General features: G+C 40.2%; 1 protein-coding gene across 1 annotated transcript, besides 1 other annotated feature; it reads left to right on the forward strand.

Annotated features, from left to right (window-relative positions):
• The first annotated feature begins 13,809 nt into the window (after positions 1 to 13,809).
• DMRTA1 (DMRT like family A1) lies at positions 13,810 to 22,726 on the forward strand. Its single transcript, NM_022160.3, has 2 exons — positions 13,810 to 14,718; positions 18,050 to 22,726. The coding sequence occupies exons 1-2, from the start codon at positions 14,052 to 14,054 to the stop codon at positions 18,895 to 18,897; spliced, it is 1,515 nt and encodes a 504-aa protein (NP_071443.2). The 5' UTR covers positions 13,810 to 14,051; the 3' UTR covers positions 18,898 to 22,726.
• Positions 13,986 to 14,485: an enhancer, noted in NCBI's record as "H3K27ac hESC enhancer chr9:22446999-22447498 (GRCh37/hg19 assembly coordinates)". NCBI's record gives its function as "activates a minimal SCP1, AML or CMV promoter by ChIP-STARR-seq in naive H9 embryonic stem cells {active_cell/tissue: H9 hESC(naive)}" and the evidence as "EXISTENCE:reporter gene assay evidence [ECO:0000049][PMID:30033119]".
• Positions 22,727 to 24,779: the final 2,053 nt, after the last annotated feature.

Below are 24,779 nucleotides of genomic sequence, written 5' to 3' on the forward strand. Positions count from 1 at the left end.
TTCTCAAGGTTTTCTATAATATGGATACATCACAGTTTGTTAGTCTATTCATGTGTTGATGATTGATGTTTTCCAATTTGCAGCTGTACAAATAAAACTACTTTAAAATGTCAATGTCTTTGTATGGACATTTGATTGTTTCTTTTGGGTAGATAACTAGGAATGTAACGGTTGGATCATATGGTAGATGATATTTAACTTTTTAAGAAACTGTTCATCTATTTTTCAAGGTGGTTGTACTATTTTACATTTCTACCAGCAGTGTATAAAAGTCCCAGCTGCTTCATGTCCTTGTCAATACTTGGTATGATCAATCTTTTTAATTGTAGTCATTGTGATATGTATACGGTAGTATTTCATGTTTGGTTTAATGTGCATTTCCCTCATTACTAATGGTGTGTAGAATATTTTCTTGTGCTTATTTTCTATCCATATATCTTCCCTGATGACATGTTTATCCAAATATTTTGCCCACTGAAAGGATTGCTTTTCCTATCAAGTTTTGAATGTTCTTTGTATATTCTGTGTATAAGTTCTTTATCAGATATATGTGTTTCCTCTATTTTCTTCCAGTCTATGGCATGACTTTTAATTATCTTAACAGAGTCTTTTGAAGAAGAAAAATATTTAATTTTGATGAAGCACAATTTATTAGTTGTTCTTTTATATACTCCAAAATTATGTGAGAGGTGACAGTGTCCTAGCAGCCCTTATTCACTCTCGGCGCCTCCTTGGACTTGGCATCTGCTCTGGCCATGCTCAAGGAGCCCTTCAGCCTGCTGCTGCGCTGTGGGGGCCCCTCTCTGGGGCTGGCCCAGGCCGAAGCCAGCTCCCTCTGTTCGCGGGGAGGTGTGGAGGGAGAGGCATGGGCGGGAGGTGGGACTGCGTGCGCGGGATTCCGGTGGGTGCGGGCTCAGTGGCCCCACACTTGGCGTGGCCTGCCAGTGCCTGCTGGGCTTGATTGGGGGATGAGCTCCCTCTGGGCTGCCGGAGTGCCCAGGCTAGGTGCTGCAAAGTCCCGCTGCAAGTGCCATTGAGAGGTGAAGCTGGCTGGGCTTCTGGGTTGGGTGGGGACTTGGAGAACTTTTCTGTCTAGCTAAAGGATTGTAAATGCACCAATCAGCACTCTGTGCCTAGCTAAAAGTTTGTAAACACACCAATCAGCACTCTGTGTCTAGCTAATTGGGTAGGGGATTTGGAGAACTTTTGTGTCTCACTAAAAGATTGTAAACACACCAATCAGCACTCTGTGTCTAGCTAAAGGTTTGTAAACGCACCAGTTAGCACTCTGTCAAAACAGACCCATCAGCTCTCTGTAAAATGGACCAATCAGCTCTCTGTAAAATGGACCAATCAGCAGGATGTGGGTGAGGCCAGATAAGGGAATAAAAACAGGCCACCAGAGCCAGCAGCAGCAACCTGCTCGGGTCCCCTTCCACACTGTGGAAGCTTTGTTCTTTCGCTCTTCACAATAAATCTTGCTGCTGCTCACTCTTTGGGTCCCTGCTGCCTTTAAGCACTGTAACACTCACTGTGAAGGTCTGCAGCTTCACTCCTGAAGCCAGCAAGACTATGAACACACCAGCAGGAATGAACAACTCTGGATGGGAGGAAGGAACAATTCCGGACGTGCCACCTTTATGAACTGTAACACTCACCTCAAAGGTCTGCAGCTTCACTCCTGAAGCCAGTGAGACCTCGAACGCAGTGGGAAGAATGAACAACTCTGGACGTGCCGCCTCTAAGAGCTGTAACACTCACCGCAAAGGTCTGCGGCTTCACTCCTGAAGTCAGTGAGACCACGAACCCACCAGAAGGAAGAAACTCCGGACACATCTGAACTTCTGAAGAAACGAACTCCGCACACACCATCTTTAAGAACTGTAAGAGTCACCACGAGGGTCCACGGCTTCATTCTTGAAGTCAGCGAGACCAAGAACCCACCAATTCTGGACACATTTTGGCGACCACGAAGGGATTATTGCCTATCGCCAAGTGGTGAGACTATCGCCTATTGCTTGTCGGTGAGACCATCGCCTATTGCCAAGCGATGAGTACCATCAGATCCCTTTTGCTTGCTATTCTGTCCTATTTTTCCTTAGAATTCGGGGGCTAAATACCGGGCACCTGTTGGCCAGTTAAAAGCAACTAGCACTGCTGCCGGAATAAAGACACGGGTGTGAGGCTTTCTGGGAAAGGGTTCTCTAACAACCCCTAACTCTTCGGAGTTGGGAGTATTGGTTTGCCTGGAACCAGCTTCCACTTTTCCTGTACTTCTGGGCTGAGCCGAGGGTTGACAGAGAGGAAAGCCATTCAGCTCTGGGCTCCCGACAACAAGTTGGTTGACCCTGTGGCCATGAGCAGAACTCTCAAAGGCATGTCGCCCAAGTGAGAGTTGCCCATCTATCCTATCTATCCTGACCCTTGCCCCCTGGGTCCTAATGCCAGCCTCTTGCCTCTCTTCTCTGAGGCTAGCCCTGCTTCTAAAAACTACTCCTGTCTCTGGTGCTTTTTTAGTTTCTCCTATAAGAATGATTTCTAGTATAAACTTCAGGACTCTGTTACCTTCTTTAGGCACCCAGGCTCACCAATCAGAAAGACATAACTTTTGCCCAAAGCCCCATTGTAGGGGGGACTATCTGGAATTTTAGGATCCCTCCTCAGACTAGCAGGCGTAACAAAACTATTCCTGAAGCTAGGATAGGGGGAGCCTCAGAAATTGTATCCTTTCTATTCAAATAAGTGAGGACAAAAGGCATCACTCTTCCAACTCTGGAGATCCCTTCCCTCTCTCAGGGTATGGCCCTCCACTTCATTTTTGGGGCATAACATCTTTATAGGACATGGGTAAGGTCCCAATACTAACAGGAGAATGCTTAGGACTCTAACAGGTTTTCGAGAATGCGTCGGTAAGGGCCACTAAATCCGAGTTTTCTCGGTCCTCTTTGTGGTCTAGGAGGACAGGCAAGGGTGCAGGTTTTTGAGAATGTGTCGGTAAGGGCCACTAAATCTGATTTTTCTCGGTCCTCTTTGTGGTCTAGGAGGACAGGCAAGGGTGCAGGTTTCTGAGAATGCATCAGTAAGGGCCACTAAATCCCACCTTCCTCTGTCCTCCTTGTGGTCTGGGAGGAAAACTAGTGTTTCTGCTGCTGCGTCAGTGAGCGCGACTCTTCCGATCAGCAGGGTCCAGGGACTGTTACGGGTTCTTGGGCAGAGGGAGAAAAAAACAAACCAAAACCGTGGACGGTTTTGTCTTTCAGATGGGAAACACTCAGGTATCAACAGGCTCACCCTTGAAATGCATCCTAAGCCTTTGGGACCAATTTGACCCATAAACCCTGAAAAAGAGGCAGCTCATTTTTTATGCGCTATGGCCTGGCCCCAATATTCTGTCTCTGATGGGGAAAAATGGCCACATGAGGGAAGTACAAATTACAATACTATCCTGCAGCTTGACCTTTTCTGTAAGAGGGAAGGCAAATGGAGTGAAATACCTTATGTCCAAGCTTTCTTTTCATTGAAGGAGAATACACAACTATGCAAAGCTTGCAGTTTACATCCCACAGGAGGATATTTCAGCTTACCCCCATATCCTAGCCTCCCTATAGGTCCCCTTCCTATTAATCATAAGCCTCCTCTAATCTCTCCTGCCCAGAAGGAAATAAGCAAAGAAATCTCCAAAGGACCACAAAACCCCCCAGGCTATTGGTTATGTCCCCTTCAAGCTGTAGGGGGAGGGGAATTTGGCCCAACCCGGATACATGTCCCCTTCTCCCTCTCAGATTTAAAGCAGATCAAGGCAGACCTGGGCAAGTTTTCAGATGATCCTGATAGGTACATAGATGTCCTACAGGGTCTAGGGCAAACCTTTGACCTCACTTGGAGAGATGTCATACTACTGTTAGATCAAATCCTGGCCTTTAATGAAAAGAATGCGGCTTTAGCTGCAGCCCGAGAGTTTGGAGATACCTGGTATCTTAGTCTAGTAAATGATAGAATGACAGCCGAAGAAAGGGACAAATTCCCCACTGGTCAGCAAGCCGTCCCCAGTATGGATCCCCACTGGGACCTTGACTCAGATCATGGGGACTGGAGTCGTAAACATCTGTTGACCTGTGTTCTAGAAGAACTAAGGAGAATTAGGAAAAAGTCCATGAATTATTCAATGATGTCCACCATAACTCAGGGAAAGGAAGAAAATCCTTCTGCCTTCCTTGAGCGGCTATGGGGAGGCCTTAAGAAAATATACTCCCCTGTCACCTGAATCACTCGAGGGTCAATTGATCCTAAAAGATAAGTTTATTACACAATCAGTTGCAGATATCAGGAGAAAGCTCCAAAAGCAAGCCCTGGGCCCTGAACAAAATTTGGAGGCATTATTAAACCTGGCAACCTTGGTGTTCTATAATACGGACGAAGAGGAACAGGCCCAAAAGGAAAAGCAAGATCAGAGAAAGGCCGCAGCTTTACTCATGGCCCTCAGACAAACAAACCTTGGTAGTTCAGAGAGGACAGAAAATGGAGCAGGCCAATCACCCGGCAGGGCTTGTTATCAGTGTGGTTTACAAGGACACTTTAAAAAAGATTGTCCAATGAGAAACAAGCTGCCCCCTCGTTCATGTCCGCTATGCTGAGGCAATCACTGGAAGGTGCACTGCCCCAGAGGACAAAGGTTCTCTGGGTCAGAAGTCCCCAACCAGATGATCCAACAACAGGATTGAGGGTGCCCAGGGCAAGTGCCAGGTCATGTCATCACCCTCACTGAGCCCCAGGTACGTTTAACCATTGAGGGCCAGGAAATTGACTTCCTCCTGGACACTGGTGTGGCCTTCTCAGTGTTAATCTCCTGTCCTGGACGACTGTCCTCAAGGTCTGTTACCATCCGAGAAATCCTGGGACAGCCTGTAACCAGGTGTTTCTCCCACCTCCTCAGTTGTAATTGTGAGACTTTGCTCTTTTCACGTGCCTTTCTTGTTATGCCTGAAAGTCCCACACCCTTATTAGGGAGAGATGTATTAGCCAAGACTGGAGCTATTATCTACATGAATATGGGGAACAAGTTACCCATTTGTTGTCCCCTACTTGAAGAGGGAATCAACCCTGAAGTCTGGGCATTGGAAGGACAATTTGGAAGGGCAAAAAATGCCTGCCCAGTCCAAATCAGGCTAAAAGACCCCACTACTTTTCCTTATCAAAGGCAATATCTCTTAAGGCCTGAAGCTCATAAAGGATTACAGGATATTGTTAAACATTTAAAAGTTCAAGGCTTAGTAAGGAAATGCAGCAGTCCCTGCAACACCCCAATTCTAGAGGTACAAAAACTGAATGGTCATTGGAGTCTAGTGCAAGATCTTAGACTCATCAATGAGGCAATAATTCCTCTATATCCAGTTGTACCCAACCCCTATACCTTGCTCTCTCAACTACCAGAGGAAGCAGAATGGTTCACTCTTCTGGACCTCAAGGATGCCTCCTTCTGTATTCCCCTGCACTCTGACTCCCAGTTTCTCTTTGCCTTTGAGGATCCCAGAGACCACACCTCCCAACTTACGTGGATGGTCTTGCCCCAAGCATTTAGGGATAGCCCTCACCTGTTTGGTCAGGCACTGGCCCGAGATCTAGGCCACTTCTCATGTCCAGGCACTCTGGTCCTTCAGTATGTGGATGATTTACTTTTGGCTACCAGTTTGGAAGCCTCGTACCAGCCGGCTACACTAGATCTCTTGAGCTTTCTAGCTAATCAAAGGTACAAGGTGTCTAGGTGGAAGGCCCAGCTTTGCCTATAGCAGGTCAAATATCTAGGCCTAATCTTAGCCAGAGGGACCAGGGCCCTCAGCAAGGAAAAAATACAGCCCATACTGGCTTATCCTTGCCCTAAGACGTTAAAACAGTTGCGGGAGTTCCTTGGAATCATGGGCTTTTGCCAACTATGGATCCCCAGATACAGCAAGATAGCCAGGCCCCTCTATACTCTAATCAAGGAGACCCAGAGAGCAAATACTCATCTAGTAGAATGGGAATGAGAGGCAGAAATAGCCTTCAAAACCTTAAAGCAGGCCCTAGTACAAGCTCCAGATTTAAGCCTTCCCACAGGACAAAACTTCTCTTTATACGTCACAGAGAAAGCAGGGATAGCTCTTGGAGTCCTTATTCAGACTCATGGGACAACCCCACAACCAGTAGCATACCTAAGTAAGGAAATTAATGTAGTAGCAAAAGGCTGGCCTCACTGTTTATGGGTAGTTGCGGTGGTGGCCGTCTTAGTGTCAGAGGCTATCAAGATAATACAAGGAAAGGATCTCACTGTCTGGACTACTCATGATGTAAATGGCATATTAGGTGCCAAAGGAAGTTTATGGCTATCAGATAACCGACTACTGAGATACCAGGAGCTACTACTTGAGGGACTGGTGCTTCAAATACATATGTGTGTGGCCCTCAACCCTGCCATTTTTCTCCCAGAGAATGGGGAACCAATTGAGCATGACTGACAACAAATTATAGTCCAGAATTATGCCACCCGAGATGATCTCTTAGAAGTCACCTTAGCTAATCCTGACCTTAACCTATATACCAATGGAAGTTCATTTGTGGAGAATGGGATACAAAGGGCAGTTATGCCATAGTTAGTGATGTAACCATACTTGAAAGTAAGCCTCTTGCCCCAGGGACCAGTGCCCAGTTAGCAGAACTAGTGGTACTTACCTGAGCCTTAGAACTGGGAAAGGTAAAAAGAATAAATGTGTATACAGATAGCAAGTATGCTTATCTAATCCTACATGCCCATGCTGCAATATGGAAAGAAAGGGAGTTCCTAACCTCTGGGGGAATCCCCATTAAATGCCACAAGGAAATCATGGAGTTATTGCATGCAGTGCAAAAACCCAAAGAAGTGGCAGTCTTACACTACCGAAGCCATCAAAAAGGGGAAGGAGAGGGGAGAACAGCAGCATAAGCAGCTGGCAGAGGCAGAGAAAGACCAGCAGAGAGAAAGAGAGAGACAAAGTCAAAGAAGGAAAGAGAGAAAGAGACAGAAAGTCAGAGAGAGAGGAAGCGAGAGAGAAAGAGAAAGAGATAGAAAGTCAAAGAGAAGGAGACAGAAAGGAAAGAGTGAGAGAGACAAAAAAAAGAAAGGAGAAAGAGTAAAAGACAGACAAAGAGGGAGTCAGAAAGAGAGAAAGAGAGAGACAAAGGAGAAGTTGAAGAGAAAGAAAGAGAGATGGAAGTAGTAAAGAAAAAACAGTGTACCCTATTCCTTTAGAAGCCAGGGTAAATTTAAAACCTATAATTGATAATCAGAGGTCTTCTCCATGACCCTATAACACTCCAATACCACCTTGTTGTCAGTGCAAACAAGGGCATAGCCCAAAAGCACTGAGGCCACTGACAACCCGTAGCCTTCCTATCAAAAATCCTTAACCCATCAGGTTTCCTACAGGAAAAGCTTCTCAAATCAGACAATGCCTTTCAAACTCTTATACCAACCTCTGGATTTGGGCAACATGGCTTCTCCCCTTTCTAGGTCCTGTGGCAGCCATCTTGCTGTTGCTCAGCTTTGGATCCTGTATTTTTAACCTTCTTGTCAAATTTGTTTCATCCAGAATCGAGGCCATCAAGCTACAGATGGTCTTACAAATGGAACCCCAAATGAGCTCAGCTAACAACTTCTATCAAGGACCCCTGGACCGACCCACTGGTCCTTGCACTGGCCTAAAGAGTTCCCCTCTGGAGGACACTACAACTGCAGGGCCCCTTCGTTGCCTCTATCCAGCAGGAAGTAGCTAGAGCAGTCATTGGCCAAATTCCCAACAGCAGTTGGGGTGTTCTATTTACAGTGGGGATTGAGAGGTGACAACGTACTAGCAGCCTTCGCTTGCTCTCAGCACCTCCTTGGCCTTGGCGTCTGCTCTGGCCATGCTCAACGAGCCCTTCAGCCTGCCGCTGCACTGTGGGGGCCCCTCTCTGGGGCTGGCCGAGGCCGGAGCTGGCTCCCTCTGTTCACGGGGAGGTGTGGAGGGAGAGGTGCGGGCGGGAGCCGGGGCTGCATGTGTGGTGCTCGCTGGCCAGCGCAGGTTTTGGGTGGGTGCAGGCTGGGCAGGCCCTGCAGTTGGCATGGCCAGCTGGCAACTGCTGGGCTTGATTGGGGGATGAGCTCCCTCTGGGGTGCCGGAGTGTCCAGGCTAGGTGCCACAAAGTCCCGTGGCGAGTGCCATTGAGAGGTGAAGCCAGCTGGGCTTCTGGGTCGGGTGGGGACTTGGAGAACTTTTCTGTCTAGCTAAAGGATTGTAAATGCACCAATCAGCACTCTGTGTCTAGCTAATTGGGTAAGGGACTTGGAGAACTTTTGTGTCTAACTAAAGGATTGTAAATGCACCAATCAGCACTCTGTCAAAACGGACCAATCAGCTCTCTGTAAAATGGATCTATCAGCTCTCTGTAAAATGGTCCAATCAGCTCTCTGTAAAATGGACCAATCAGTAGGATGTGGGTGGGGCCAGATAAGGGAATAAAAGCAGGCCATGCGAGCCAGTAGTGGCAACCCATTCAGGTCCCCTTCCACGCTGTGGAAGCTTTGTTCTTTCACTCTTCGCAATAAATCTTGCTGCTGCTCACTCTTTGGGTCCACGCCACCTTTAAGAGCTGTAACACTCACAGTGAAGGTCTGCAGCTTCACTCCTGAAGTCAGTGAGACTACGAACCCACCAGAAGGAAGAAACTCTGGACACATCTGAACATCTGAAGGAATAAACTCTGGACACACCATCTTTAAGAACTGTAACACTCACCACGAGGGTCCGCAACTTCATTCTTGAAGTCAGCAAGACCAAGAACCCACCAATTCTGGACACACATGGACCATACTTTTGGTGTTGTATCTAAGAAATCTTTGCATAACCCAATGTCACAAAAGTGCTCTATGTTTTATGGTTTTATTACTTATATTTAGGTCTATAAACCATTTTGAGCTAATTTTTATGTGGTGAGAAGTATGGATCAAAGTTTTTTTTATTTAGTTTTGTTTTGCATACAGAAATCCAATTGTTCTAGCAACATTTGTTGGGAAAAAATTATCCTTTCTTCACTAAGTTGTCTTTCCACTTTTGTCTGGAATGAGCTGTATGTTTATGTGTGTTTCTCTTTCTAAACTCTTTCTTCTACCACAATGGTTGATTTTTCTATGCTTACACCAATATTCCATTGTTTTGATTACTATAACTTTGTAATAATTATTGAAAAAAGGTAATGTTAACCTTGTGACTTTATTCTTTTTCAGAGATGTTTTGGCCATTATAGGTCTTTGCATTTCCATATGAATTTTATGAGTTTGACCATGTATATTTTAAAAATGAAAATTTTGATTGGGATTGCATCAATTTATAGATCAATTTAGTGAGGATTATCATTTTAAAAATGTTGAGTCTTCTGACCCATGAACATGGTATATGTCTCCATCTGTTTAAATCTTTAATTTCTGTCAATAAACTTTTTAGTTTTCAGTGCTTCATATTTATCAGATGTATCCCTAAGCATTTTGTATTTTGAATGCCACTGTGAATAGGTTTGTTTACTAAATTCAGTTCGTGATTGTCTGGTTTTATTTCAGTTTATAGAAATATAGCTGATTTTTTTATACTGATCTTATGTCTTGTGGTCTTACAAAAATTACTTCTTAGTTCTAGCAGCTTTTTTTCTGTTTTCATAGGATTTTATAAGTAGATGTCACCTGCAAATGAAGAGTTTTACACCATTCTTTCCAATTTGAATGTCTAACTAATTTCTCTTGCCTGATTGCATTAGACAGAATTTCCAGTATATTGTTGAATTGAAGTGGTCAGAGTGAACATCCTTGTATTGTTTCTGATCTTAGGAAGAATGGTTTTAGTCATTCACCATTAAAAGTGCTGTTTGTTCTATTTTTTAAATGTATAGGTTATGTAGGTTGAGGAAGTCCTTTCTATTCTTAGTTTGCTGGGAGTTTTTTTTTTAAATCAGAAATAGATGAGGGATATTTGTAACTTTTATAAAAAATGTGATGTTAGTCTTATTTTGTTTTCAGGGTAATGTTAGCGTTATAGGAAGAACCAGTAAATATTCCAGGATTTAAGAAATTTTTAGCAGAAGGTTGTGTATAATTGATACTATTTCTCCCTTAAACATCTGGTAAAATTCACTAGTGCAGACATCTGATTCTTGAGTTTTCTTTCTCAGAATGTTTTAAGCTATGTCAATTTATTGGATAAAGGGCTTCAGGTTATGTATTTCTTCTTAGGCAACTGTGCTTTTTTAATGAATTGGTTTGTTTTATCTAAGTTATTGAATTTAATAGCATAAAGTTGTCTATAATATTTCTCTTTTATTTTCTATATAATCTGTAGTTCTTTCACGTGTTTTATTCCTTACATTTCTTGATTAGTGTAGAGATCAGTTTTATTGATCTTTTCAAAGAATCAATTTTTGGCTACATTTTATTTTTAATTATTTTCTTGGGTTGTTTCATTACTTTCTCTTCAGTTTTTAATTATTTCCCTTTTGCTACTTATTTTGGTTGAATTTAATGCTCCACTTCTAGTTTCCCAAGTTGGAAACTGAGGTCATTGGTTTGAGATTTCTTATTAATAATATAGGTGTTTAGTGATATAAATGACTCCCCAAAGTATGGTTTTAACTGCATCCCACAAATTTTGATATGTTGTATTTTCATTTTTACTCAGTTTAAATACCATTTTCCTTTATATTTCTCCTTTTAATATGGGTTATTTTAAAATGTGTTATTAATTTCCACACACTTTAGGACTTTTCTTGATTTATTTCTTTTATTGATTTCTGTTTCAATTCCATTGTGGTCAAAAAGCATACTTCATACAATTTGAATCCTTTTATTCATCCTTGCTTTTATGGTCCCGAATTTGATTGATTGGTAAATGTTCCATATGCACTTCAAAAAGACAAGCATTCTGTAGTTGTTGACTTGAATGCTGTATATATTTCACTGGATCTATCTGTTGACAGTGTGGCTCAAATTGTCTATATCTTTACTGGTTTTCTGCCTATACTATCAATTATTGAAGGAGGATGTTGAAATCTGACCATAATTGTGGATATATCTATTTCTTTTTACAGTTGTTTTTGTTTCTTGTATTTTGAGGCAATGTTATTAGGTGCATACGTATTTAGAATAATGGTATTTTCATGAAGTAAATATTATCCCTAGTAATATTACTTGCTCTGAAATCTATTTTGTCTTATAGTAATAGAGAGCTACTTCAGTGTTAGGGTGAAATATTTTTTTTTTTCATTTCATTTCAGATTTTCCATTGCTAGTATATCAGAAACACAATGATCTTGTATTAGACATGCCTGTATTAAAGTCATAAATCATTAAAGTTTAAATAATCTTAGAAATTATTTAACCCAACTGTTTCATTTTGCAACTGAGTAACCGAGACCAAAAAGATAGAGTTACTTTTCAACACCACAAATCTGGTCATTGGAAGTGCCCTTATCTTCTGTCAGATACACTGCTTATTTGAACCCATCTCTCTTGATTTCCTGGCCAATAATCTTTTCTCCTGAAAGCACTGTCACCACGTAGGCCAATCACACAAATTCCAAGATGGGATACTTACTATGAAAATGGTTACATTTTTAATACCAATCTAATTTTGGTTCACCAACAATTTTGGATACCTTTCTTCTATATTTGACTGAATGTATAACAAGTCTGGTTTTTGAGTTCATTTAAGACAAAGAAGTTCTTCTAAAATATAATAAAATTCTCATTTAGCACTTGAAATATCATTCCTAAATATTAATATTTAAAACTCTTTTATTAAGAAAAGTAATATATATCGAGAACCTAGGTGTTAGGAACAGTAAAATATGCATTTTATTATATACATTATGATTTAGGTAAGTTATCTCGTTTAATCCTCAAGTAACCATATGATTATTCTCATTTTACAAATGAGAAAATTGAGGACAGAGTGAGATAAAGTAACTTACTAAAAGTGGATCCAGAATTTGAGAGCAACACTTTTTGACTCCAAAACCACCAAGACAATGTTTTCCAGACCTCAATTTTTTGGCGATGTATGCATTATCTGCATAATTCTTCATTTAAATTGACAAATATTTAACTTAAATACATTTATTTAAAAACTATTTTTACTTCCTTGGAGGAAAACCAATATCACTTTCCATAATTATAAGATAACTTTAAAAATCAAATAAAAACAGAAAAATATCGCTAAACTCTAGGTAAACATTTTACTTGCTGCTCTTTGTTGTTGTTATTGAAAAACACAATTAAAAGGTATTTTAAAAATTTAAAAGACATATTTGCATTAAGCTGAACATTCCCATTATGTAACCTGAAGCTCCTAAAAAGAATAGAAAAGAAAATTGCTTTCTCGTTAGGTAATTCATTGTATTTTAATGATCCATTTAGAACTAAAAACTCATCTCTCAAAGGACGGATGTGAGTCCACAGTTAGGGCATCAGTACATTTTAGGCAGGAGTAGCTTGAACAAAGATAAAGAGTTGTGAGAAAGGTTGGATATCATAGAACCCCCAGAGGTTAGGAATTCCTTGAGTGGTAGTTCTAAACATTGTATGTAATTTTCACCTTCAGAGTTTAAGACACAGACAAAAAGAATCAGAATACATTACGTAGATTGGAGTGTCCATCTCTTTTAAAAGTTCCCTAGGTAGTTCCAGTTCTTAGGAAGGGTGGAAAACTTCTACGATAGGATGTTTGTATGAGAGGATGGTAGTGGTGGTGATGGTGTTGAGTAGGTTGGTAGGAGAAAGGCCAGATAGATCAGCAATATCTGCTCTGAATGTGAACAGGTGGAATGGTAAAAATATCATTATTAATTGCTATCTTAGGGATGGAAAATGAATAACTTGTCCAAGGTAGTTGGATACCATCTTGAAGAGCTGGCAGAGTGCTGACGCTACCTTCCATTAAGAATAAACATTCATGAATTTTCTATCTCAGATGCTCTTTTGACTTAAACGCCTTATGGTCTTTTCTTATAATTAAAGGCATTAAATTCATATGTGAAGAATGCATTCATGACAGCATATTTAAATAATGATCTAAACGACTTTCCCCAATACTTTACAATAGACATAAGTATTTTTGAAACAGCTTTAACACAATCGCTGCCTATAAATAGGCGCAGAGAAGAGTTTGATAACTTTTTTAAAGTAGCAGTATTTTAAAATAGAGTACACACAACCCAAATTCGCATGTGTAAATAAATAGAATGCATGAAAAGAATCTGAATGTGAATCACTTCCCTTAGTTATTTATCCATTGTTTTGATGCTGTCCTAAGACCCATTTAAAATAAGGCATCTTTCTGGTGGGTAACAAATTCGTAGTCTATCAAGCTGGGATCCCACTAACATTGGCCAAACTGCTGCAGACATGAAGACTTCATCTGGGAACCCGAAAGGAGAACTCAAAATCCAAATCTTCAGACTTTCTTAGGAGAAGCGTGGAAGTGGGAAAAGGAGAAATTCAAACTCTGCTTAATTTCAAAAGGGCAGTAAAAGGGGAGGCTGCAAAGGCTAGTTTACAAAAATAGACGTCGAGAACTCCTAGGGAAGCAAGTAGAAACGGGCTTTTTTTGGGGGAGGAGACATTTGCAGCCCATTGGACGGATTCCCCGCCGCCCTCCTCCCAGAAGGTCCCCACTCCCCGCCCCGGGCCCTCCCCCGGCTTCCGCGCTGGGCCGGGAGCCTGGGTGGGCGGGGTAGCCTCTCTAGCCTTGCCTTCTTGGCTGGAGGCACAAAGGCATTAACTTAGCGCCCGGGGTCTCTGCCAGGCTCACGGGACAGCTGCACCTCTCAGCGTCTCCAGCTCCAGGACGCGGTCGTCCCAACTCCTTCCGAGTGGAAAGAGTGTAAAACTTTTGTCCGTGCGCGGGTGGAGCTCAGTAGGACCACGGCGCGTCCTGCCCCGGCTTCCCCAGCCTCCCAGCAGGGTTAGCTGCGGTCAGCGCACTTTCCACTTGGGACTCCCGGCCAGAAATTTCTCGGGAATGGAGCGGTCACAGTGTGGCAGCAGAGACCGAGGCGTTAGCGGCCGACCTCACTTGGCCCCTGGGCTAGTGGTGGCTGCCCCTCCGCCCCCGTCCCCGGCGTTGCCGGTACCATCGGGGATGCAGGTTCCCCCAGCGTTCCTGCGGCCGCCCAGCCTCTTTCTGCGAGCAGCGGCCGCGGCCGCCGCCGCCGCTGCCGCCACCTCGGGAAGCGGAGGCTGCCCGCCGGCTCCCGGGCTGGAGAGCGGGGTAGGCGCGGTGGGCTGCGGCTACCCGCGGACGCCCAAGTGCGCCCGCTGTCGTAACCATGGTGTGGTGTCAGCGCTCAAGGGCCACAAGCGCTTCTGCCGCTGGCGGGACTGCGCGTGTGCCAAGTGCACCCTGATCGCCGAGCGCCAGCGCGTCATGGCCGCCCAGGTGGCGCTGCGCAGGCAGCAGGCGCAGGAGGAGAGCGAAGCCCGGGGGCTACAGAGGCTCCTGTGCTCGGGGCTCTCCTGGCCCCCCGGTGGTCGGGCATCCGGGGGCGGCGGCAGAGCCGAGAATCCACAGTCCACGGGCGGCCCTGCGGCGGGGGCTGCGCTGGGACTGGGTGCCTTGAGACAGGCCAGTGGTTCCGCGACCCCCGCTTTCGAAGTTTTCCAGCAAGATTATCCTGAGGAAAAACAAGGTGAGTTGGTCTTTGATTTACTCTTTGCTCAAGGAATGGTTGTTCTGGAAAGAAACTCTGAAACAAGCCACCGTGTCCATAGGCGGGCAGGAATAGTTGTTTAAAAGAAACACTTTAAGTTTTGGGGAACTGCTCAGCAATATGGACATTAATGAGAGTGTGAGAGACCCCATCGCCTTCACTTTGGAGGAATTTACTGTTGTTCCCTCAGGTGATAGGATGAGATAATGAAAAAATGAAGCATGGGTGGTAACAAATGAGCAATTCACCCTAGGAGTAGAGTTATTTACTCGGAAGTTGATTTGACTTTCACTGTGTGAGTAGAACTTCAAGCAGGCATTGAGCGAAAAGCTTCGTAAGAGGTGCTGTGTTTGAGTCTGCTCTGTACTCTTTCCAGACAGGATCTCACTCTGTTGCCCAGGCTGGAGTGCAGTGGCGCCATTACAGCTCACTGCAGCCTCAACCTCCCCAGGCTCAGGTGATCCTCCCTGCTCTGGACTGTTTTCAGCTGTAAAACCAGAGCTGATTTTGCGTGGGAAACTCTGATAGTTGGGGATGCAGTTCTTTACTACATGTTGGGGCAAACATTTGTTGCAAGCTTGATGTGGGGAAGAGACTGAAATCTACCAAACCATCGTCTTTCTTTGTTTCTTCACTCTAAATTGTTTTCGCAAAATGTAATTTGTAAAACCATAGGTAAGAATTTCAAAGTTCAATATTAGAGGTTTTTTATCCAAGGAGTTTTCATTATTTTTCTCTTATTTTTTGACTGCGAGTCAGTTGCCTTCATTTCCTGCGTTAGGAGATATATTTTAGTGAACTTCATAGCCCTCCACAGGGCCTACTAAGCAGTGAAAATATCATTGTGATTTTTTTTTTGTATAAGTCAAAAACTTATACAAAACTTATAAAGCTGTATTATATGAAATTGTATGATAGCTATACAGTAAACTATTAATTAGAAACCTTCCTTGAATTATGAAAATTGCAGATCTCAACAGATTTTTTCGCTCAATGGCTGCTTGAAGTTCTACTCACACAGTACATTCGAAAAATTCTGTGAATTGAAATGAGGCATTCAGTTCAGAGTGAATTTTGTGTTTGCATGTGTCAACTTTTGCACATATTCTAATTTATTTGAGTAGGCAAAACAGACTTTCTACAATTCCCATGAAAGATGAAGGTGCTAAAGAGCACAGTTATTAAGTAAAAGTGCTATGAAAGAGAAGTAAAAGTGAGAATTCCTGAAACTACACCGATAGTGAAATGGCTGACATCTCCCTGTGAGACACTGATTTATGTGATTTCTAGTTGGTACCAAAGTGTTCTGTTTTATAGAGCTAATTATTTTACTTTGTTCTTTGCCTCAGATGATGCCCCCTCCCCCATAAGAAGCAAGCTAATGTTTGAAAGGTTACTTCAATAGCTTTCTAAATTGACTGGTTCTCTTACACAATAGCCATGAACTGTGGTAAAATAGTCTATTTAATTTACTCATTCATTAGACAAAGACTAACAGTGATTTAGAAGTGAACAAGTTTTTCCTACACAGAAGAACCTTATATTCAAAAGAAGGCAGACTATATGTATCCAAAAACTACAATGCAAGGCTTAATATACAATGATAAATGCAATAGAAGTAAAGCAAGCTGTAGGACTTGAGAAGACAGAGAGACGATATAAGTGGTATTATATTTTAAAGACACCATATTTTCTAAATAATCTTATGCAAATTGGTATTTCATTACATATATTGTACTGTGAGTAAAATATAACAAGACATTATTTTATGATTTCATGCATAAATTGCTATAGAGATGAAATGTTGATAATTGACATGTTCGGGGGCATGCTCATTCATATTTACAAGTAAAGTGGAATGGAGGACTAATGCTAATCTATTTCCACTTGGCAAATTTCATTAGAAAAGTATTATTGTGTTATTTAAAGTTGAAAATCCTATAGAGTGTTTGCAATTTTTGCAGTAGTGACATTCTTTTTTTCATATGCTTATGGGAACAGCATATAGGAACAGCATTTTGAACTTCAAAATGCTAAATTGTATACACTTTAATTTTAAAATAAACTATAGCTATTTCTTTAGAATTTAGAACTGAATTCTTCTTAAGAAAACTGGAGAAAACTGGAGTATTGCAAATCATATTTACAAATCACTGTCTTAGGCAATATTTGTTTTGTGACATTCATAAACTTGGTAGAAAAAGGAAGTTGGACAGAATTACTCTGCACACTCCACTTAACAGTTTACTCTTACCTATATATCTCTAGGGTAATAGAAAATGTAAACCAAAGTAAAAGTTACATAGTAAATATGGCTATTTTAATTTTTGTGGTGTTAACCTAGTAAAGGGTATTAACATATTCTTGTTTGATTAATATGCTCAACATGTTGAGATAGAAAAACCAGAACTTTGTGTAAAAGTACTTTTGGAAAATTGCCCCTAACATTGGAGGAGGGCTGTGATTTAAAGCAAATGCCTAATATGTTGTTTTTAAAAGACAATTTGAGGATTTGTGTAGATTGCAATAGGACAGTTTATAATTTTCTTTTACAAACAATTTGCTTTTAAAGTCTGTTATTGATATTTCTTAAGGATTGAAAAAGAAAGTACATTTCATAGAGGATTATGAAAAATACCGTCTGTGTCATCTCTCATAAAATGAAATATGCAAGCTCTAGTATGATTTGGGATTGACATAGCAATAGTACTTATTGGTTTAAATCTGAAATGAAATGAACAGTTTTTTTTTACATTATTCAAGTAAATTAATTATAACCTGAAATATGAGATAAAAAACCAATTGTTAAAATTTAGCATTAGTGATTAAATAGAATATTCATTTTCAAACTAAGATTATTCCTTTTATTCCTTATTCATTTTATTCAGTTCTCTTTCCATAGTGTCATTCTGAAAAAATATCACTTAGATAACAACAAAACTTAGGTGACATTTAGGAAGATCCCACACAACCAAGATAGAACAGACAGTGTGCCATATTGGTGTTATGCAGACAATTTGGGGTAACAATACACTCTCATCTTCTGATTCCTAAATATAATTGCATTTTAATATTGCATACCTTTGTGATTCTGAGATGATATAATAGTATACTTTTCACTATTCCAGCACCTGCATTTCTGAATAATCTTTTAAATTTGAGTTATTCATTAAAATGTCTTGGAGTGTATAAATATTACTAATTAATAGGAGTGAATTAATTATATTATCCAGCATTATTTTTGAGTGAGCAGTACCACATTCTGGGAAGTCTTCCCTGTATTTGATTTTTTTTTCCCCCTCTTCTCCAGAACAAAAAGAGAGTAAATGTGAGTCATGCCAGAATGGACAAGAAGAACTGATCTCCAAATCCCATCAGCTTTACCTAGGATCATCTTCTAGGTCTAATGGTGTCATTGGGAAACAAAGTATCGGGTCATCTATTTCAGAATACTCCAACAAGCCTGATAGTATCCTGTCTCCTCATCCTGGAGAGCAATCAGGAGGTGAAGAGAGTCCCAGGTCCTTATCATCCTCTGATCTGGAATCAGGAAATGAAAGTGAATGGGTCAAAGACTTGACTGCGACCAAGGCAAGCCTTCCGACAGTGTCCTCAAGACCAAGAGATCCTCTTGATATCCTTACTAAGATTTTCCCAAATTACAGGCGCAGCCGGCTAGAAGGCATTCTACGGTTCTGCAAAGGGGATGTGGTCCAAGCCATTGAACAGGTTTTAAATGGCAAAGAACACAAGCCAGACAACAGGAACCTAGCAAACTCAGAAGAACTGGAAAACACAGCCTTTCAGAGAGCTTCAAGTTTTAGTCTTGCTGGAATTGGTTTTGGAACTCTAGGTAATAAATCAGCTTTCTCTCCTCTTCAAACTACTTCTGCTTCTTATGGAGGTGATTCAAGTCTCTACGGCGTAAATCCTAGAGTAGGTATCAGTCCATTAAGGCTGGCATATTCTTCTGCAGGAAGAGGGTTATCTGGTTTTATGTCACCCTACCTAACACCTGGGTTAGTACCAACCTTACCTTTTCGGCCAGCTTTGGATTATGCCTTTTCAGGGATGATTAGAGATTCTTCCTACCTTTCCAGTAAAGACTCAATAACTTGTGGCAGACTGTACTTCAGACCAAATCAGGACAATCCGTAATGTATATGCCCATTCTCTCTTTCTGGAGTTTTTCCAGCATACAATACATGCACGTGCACACACATACACACACATCCATTAATATACTTCAGTAAGTATGTGAGTGGATTATGAGGTCTTAAAATGCTGGGTTTTTTTTTTTTCAAGCAATATAATAGGTCTTAGATCTGAAAACTCTTCATTAGGATTTATCAAGTGAAAGAAGTAAATCTGAACATTATATGTGCCTTGAATAAAGCTATTTCAGGAAATATTTAATGAATTTTCTCCCTAAATTATCATTTGTAAACATTTTTATTTTAAAACTAGTTTTTATTTTATTGAAAAGTGGAATTTTTAGTGATAAAATACATTTGTAAGTGTAAAGCAATACAGCATAATAGAATAGAATATAAACCGAAAGGAAGAACTGAACAATTAAGGCAATTCTAAATAATTACCATTTCAAAACTGTTTCTTCTATTCCTGGTTCATAGGAAAGAAAAAAGTTATTCAAAGTATTTTTAAAGCATTTGATTTGCAGATGGGTGATTCGTAATAAATAAAACATTTGAGCATTTTGAATTTATATTTCCTGAGTATTTTATTTTTCAATCTTAGCTTCCATGAGTGAAAACAAGTGCCATTAAAAAACATTTCTCTTTAAAGTTGACACTGTGTCTATGAAGTAAATTTTAGGAAATAAGACTGCGCCATCTCCTGGCCACTATCGCCAATTGCAACTGAGCTCTGTAGAGTATATGAATTAGAAACATTGATTCCGGAGAATAACCATTTTTTTTTCAAATAGTCATTTTGGATTATACTACATTAAAATTTCCATACTGTAAAGTGCACATCTACTGTGGATGAGAGTTGCAGTCTTTAAGTGTGCTTATGTCTGTATCTGGGGAAATATCCTTAAAAGTTTGGGACAAGAATATATGGCAGCCATTCTCAAAGGTAAGAATAATTTTATTCAGAAAACTAAAATAGCTGCTCAAATAAATATTTATTAACTGCAGATAGTTGATGCTTAATGCACTGAGGAGAGATATAAGATTTCCAAAGGGGAAAAACTGCCATGAAGTTTCAGAGGTATTCTTGCAATTTTAAAAATAATTTTTGTCCTCCCTCTGGCGCATTTGAAAACTATTTATTTCAGTCAGTGGAAAGTCCCTGAGGAAACTGCTTACAAAACAGTTTCTAGGACATTTTCTTTGTATGTCATCATTTTTCTTTTTTGAAGGACAGTAGCTTCATTGTTATTATTAGGAATAAATGGAAGCCCACTGGTGGTAAAAGATAGTTGATGAATTAGAGATTGTTTAAACTATTTAAGCAGCATGACTCACTAAAGATTTTTTAAATTATATGTATATACGTATGTGTGTATGCATCTATATGCACATATATAAGTCTATGTAGACATACATTAAACCCCTATAGGTTATATTATCATGGAGGCGTTTTTCATGAAGCCAGTAAGAATGTATTTCCAAGGAATATTTTGCCAGCAAATGTGATATTAAATTACTTCAGAGTATCTGATGCTGATTTAGGATGTAAATGTGTTTATTAGGTTATGCATTAATTTTAATGGTGTGAATATAAGAAAGCAGATCTTGAAAAATTTCGATGTACTCAATATTCATTTATTATAAAAAAGTTTTATATTCTAAGCCTAAACCGTAGTACAATGTCTAGCAAGTAGTTGAAATTCAATTCATATATACTGAGTAAGAAACTCTTATATATAATAGATCTCTTTGAGACTCTGATAAAACTGAAGAACTCTACAAAATGGCGTACAGACACACAGTTTTGCATACAATTTCACTGGGTTCTTGAATCTCCTAAATGGTATTCAGGTTAGATTCCTTGGTGATTCTTCAGTTGTTTCTATTGCATTAATCCACTTATTGAATGCTATTTTTCTGAAAAGTGCTAGATCCTGTAGAGGATACTGAATGTAAAATATTGTGCTCTAAAGGAAGTTACATTATACAATAGAGATATGGTTTAAAAAAAAATCCTAGAGTTACTGCATTATGTATGTGGTTTTATAATGATGTGCTTGTATCTGAGAAACTGAATTGCTTTTGACCTTGGGAGAACATCCATTTTGGGCAGTATTCGAATTTATAAAATAGTTTTATAATCATAAAACTTAATTTATATAATGCCTTACACATTCCATACTCTTTATAATAATTTAAGGACTTAATCTTATCAAATAGGTCATTTGTCTAACAACTCAGTAGTATATGAGGAAATTGGGGCTCAGCAGTAGGGTTTTTTCTCCCTAAGGTTAGTAATATGAGTCATCTGCAGTGGAATTACTGTGCTCACTTCAGCAATTTCAGACTCCAATGTCTGAGGAAGGATTCATGTCTGTTTTTTTCATTCATGGCCTTGAACAGTGTCTGATATAGGTTCTCAACCTATACACTAGATTTCCACTGACTGAAAAAAAATAAAAGCAAGTATTAGCTTAATAATTTCTTCATTCAACACCTATTTAATATTTTTAATAATCTATTTGTGCCATGCACTGTGTTAGACACAAGAGATAAAGAAATGATTAAGATACAAGACTTTGCCTCAAGTTGCTCACGGTCTATATTGTGTGTACAAAAACAACCAATCAACCAATGTTGGTATTATTTGACAGTGTTGGTACATCAATGAGTTCTTTGTAATCTTGATATTTATATCCATGGATGCTGCTTGAAGCCTGAACTCCTAAGCCACTAATTAGTGGTGGGAAGAAAGAGGGGGTAAATGCTTTAAGAGCTAGCATATAACAAAAATGAATTGGGTTTATTCTGTATCATATAGAGGGCCTAAGAGGCAAACATTTCATAGAGTATTCAGAAGAACATAAGGAATGACTTTTTTCACAGTTAACAGCTGTCCAAGAGTGTAGTGGCTGCCTCGTATGATAAAGCATCTGGAACTCATTGAAAAATGCATGTAGAAAATACCAATCAGAGCCTGATTGATGGGATTTTTAATTACTGCTTTAATATTGGGACTGAATCATTTTGTAGCTCATTAGAAACATGGAAAGTATTTGTTAAATAAATAAGTCATGGAATTTCAATTCTAAGGCCATGAAAATTAAAACACCCTACCATTATTTATCAATAAAACACAGTGCAGTTTTGCTCATCAGAATTTTGCCTATGTGATAGCCTCCTGAGAGTAGGCAGAAAAGAAAGACATAGAACGCAGTGCGTGACTTACAAGGGAATAAAACTGACAGAGGTTAGTGTAAGGTATATAGGCATGAGTGGGGCTTAAAGAGGATATGGGAGAACACTGAAGACAAATATTAGTACAATTCCTATAAGGTAAATACCAATATGTCTTTCTAGAAGAAGCAATTGTTTTGGAATTGAGGAAACCTAGAATGGATTTATCTATATGACTTGGACAGGTTACTTATACTCTTTGGACATTTATTTCTTCTCAGCAAAACAAGGGTAATAATATTTAACTTGCAAGATTCGTGGAGATAAAAGCTTAAATAAACGGCAGAGTACAGTAATGCTTATATACGGGATGCTAAATAAATAACTCTCACTGTTATTACTTTGTATTAAGATATTATCTTTGCCCCCTCGTGGCAGTCTCTCAACAAAGAGTACTGTAATTGCATTTAATCCACTTAGTGGATGTGGAGCCCAAAGGGCAGCCATCACTAGAGCAGCGTACAGGCTTAGTTCCAGACTTCGTGTTTGGTTGTTCATTTCATAGGCGAGCCACGTGTTTTGTAACATATTCTCGTATATGTTATTTGGATTATTTTCAGGGCTTTCTGAAGAAAATAAACATCGAAATCATAGTTTGTGTTTATGCTACATTTATTGGGGTTGTCAGGAAAACAGAGTCCATGTAATATGTGGAAATAAGGGAGTTATAGAAATTTAACCTAACATAAACAAAGGAGGAGCTTGAAAATGAATGTCTGGAAGAGGGAAATTGGCAGATAAGAGAAAGATTCACTCATCTACTTGAAGCACTGGTGTGGGCTGACAAGTGGGAACTGAAGCTCTGTGAAGTCCAGCATGTCCAATCACTCAAATGGTTCCCAGCCAGGGGTTCTGAAGGGGGGCTATGGGAAACCAGTGCCTCTGTGTAGGTTCTAGCTCTGTTGGTCTGTGAGCAAACACCTGGTGGTGAACCTGTGCCACCATGGGTCAGTGAGGTCAGAAGGCAGGAAGACAAGCTAGATGTGGAGTAAGGAAAAGTGAAGACAGCCTGGAAATCACTGGGTATCTAACCTTAATGACTTGTGTTTCACTTCTACCTTAACAATCTCACCATAATTCCTTTTTCTGGGCCAATCTCACTTTGAACAATACAGGAAAGGGAATTCTGAGAAATGTAATTTGCAGTCAGCCAAACTGATAGTGTAGTCTAGTACAGTGTACTCCTTGTCAACACGGCTTTCAGAGCAAAAACAAAATCATTCTTTTACCTGCAGTTGATATAACCATATTTCGTACAACAAAAACACACTAGCCCACTCCCCAAAAGGGAACACACAAAGTGACTTACCTATCTGTGGGTTATGCTCATTTCTGTTGTACTCAGTCAAACCCTCCTTTGAATATCCTATAGCTTTAATCCTGAGATATAGGTAACTACTATTAATAAATCTTTTGTTAGACTAGGAGAAAGGGGAAACACACACACACACAAATACACTTACTTTGAAGCAATAAATACATTGATAAATATTTTTTATCTACTAGAGCCCTCATGTTCAGTCATGGGATCATAACTGGTCATAAGACCACAGATGTTATTTATAACTGCCTTCTTCCACTAGGCAATTCATATTTTCTCTGCTCCCTGAAAGTGTCTCAGTTAATTGTGGTTCCTTACTTGATAGAGTGACCCAAATCCTGGTTCGTGAAGCATCTCTACCATTATAGCCCTGCCTCTATTAGGTTGTTGTAGCTTTTCATGAACTTTTACCACAAAATATTGAAAGTCTAAGTGATGCTCTGGAGGATCTTCTGAATACTGGGAATGCTACCCCTGCCTCTTTCCTGTTGTTTCAGTGTCTGAGGTGCCCCAAATAGCCAGTGGTAGTTGCGAATTCCAGTACAATGTTGTATTCTGTCATGAATTTCTTCTTTGGGAAGTAAGTTCTCTGAACCTGAAAGGTCAAAATTTGTAGAGAATCTGAACAAAAATATTACCAGTGGATCATTAGGATTAATGTGAAAGGAGTCATTCTCATATCTACCCTATGATTCCCAGACTCATGAATCCTGGGTATAGGAGAAACATCGCTACATATTTATAGGTGATTCAAAGCATATCTTACATCCAGGAAGACATTATTGCAGCCCCATAAAGTGCTTTCACCAGCTGGTGCCATAACTGAGTCTTCCAAAGACCATTCCATAATTTTATTAGACCAGCTGTTTCAGGATGAAGGGAACAGGAGGATACCAGTAAATTGCATGAGCATGAGCCCAACATTGCACTTCATTTGCTATAAAATGAGTTTCTTTGTCAGAAGTAATGTCATATGGAATACTATAAAGGTGAATAAGGCATTGTGTAAACCCACAGCTGGTGGTTTTAGCAGAAACATCAGGAGTGGGAAAGGCAAAACCATATCTAACATAAGTGTTTTTTGTTGTTGTTGTTTTTCCTCAGTGAGAACAAAGAGGTACTCCTTCAATGATGGAAGTGATCCAATGTAATCAACCTGCCACCAGGTGGCTGGCTGGTTCCTCCAGGGAATGGTGCTATTTCAGGGACTCAGTGTAGATCTTTGCTCTTGGCAGTTTGGGTAGTCAGCAGTGGCTCTATCCAAACTGGCCTTAATGAATGGAAGTCCATGTTGCTGAGACCACGCATAGACTCCATCTCTGCTT

This window comes from Homo sapiens, chromosome 9 (genome assembly GCF_000001405.40).
Source record: "Homo sapiens chromosome 9, GRCh38.p14 Primary Assembly".
NCBI classification, from domain to species: Eukaryota; Metazoa; Chordata; class Mammalia; order Primates; family Hominidae; genus Homo; species Homo sapiens.

Coding starts and splice junctions, on each gene's coding strand:
- DMRTA1 (NM_022160.3), top strand. CDS start 14,052: ATGGAGCGGTCACAGTGTGGCAGCAGAGACCGAGGCGTTAGCGGCCGA. Junction 14,719..18,049: donor TTATCCTGAGGAAAAACAAG/GTGAGTTGGTCT, acceptor CCTCTTCTCCAG/AACAAAAAGAGAGTAAATGT.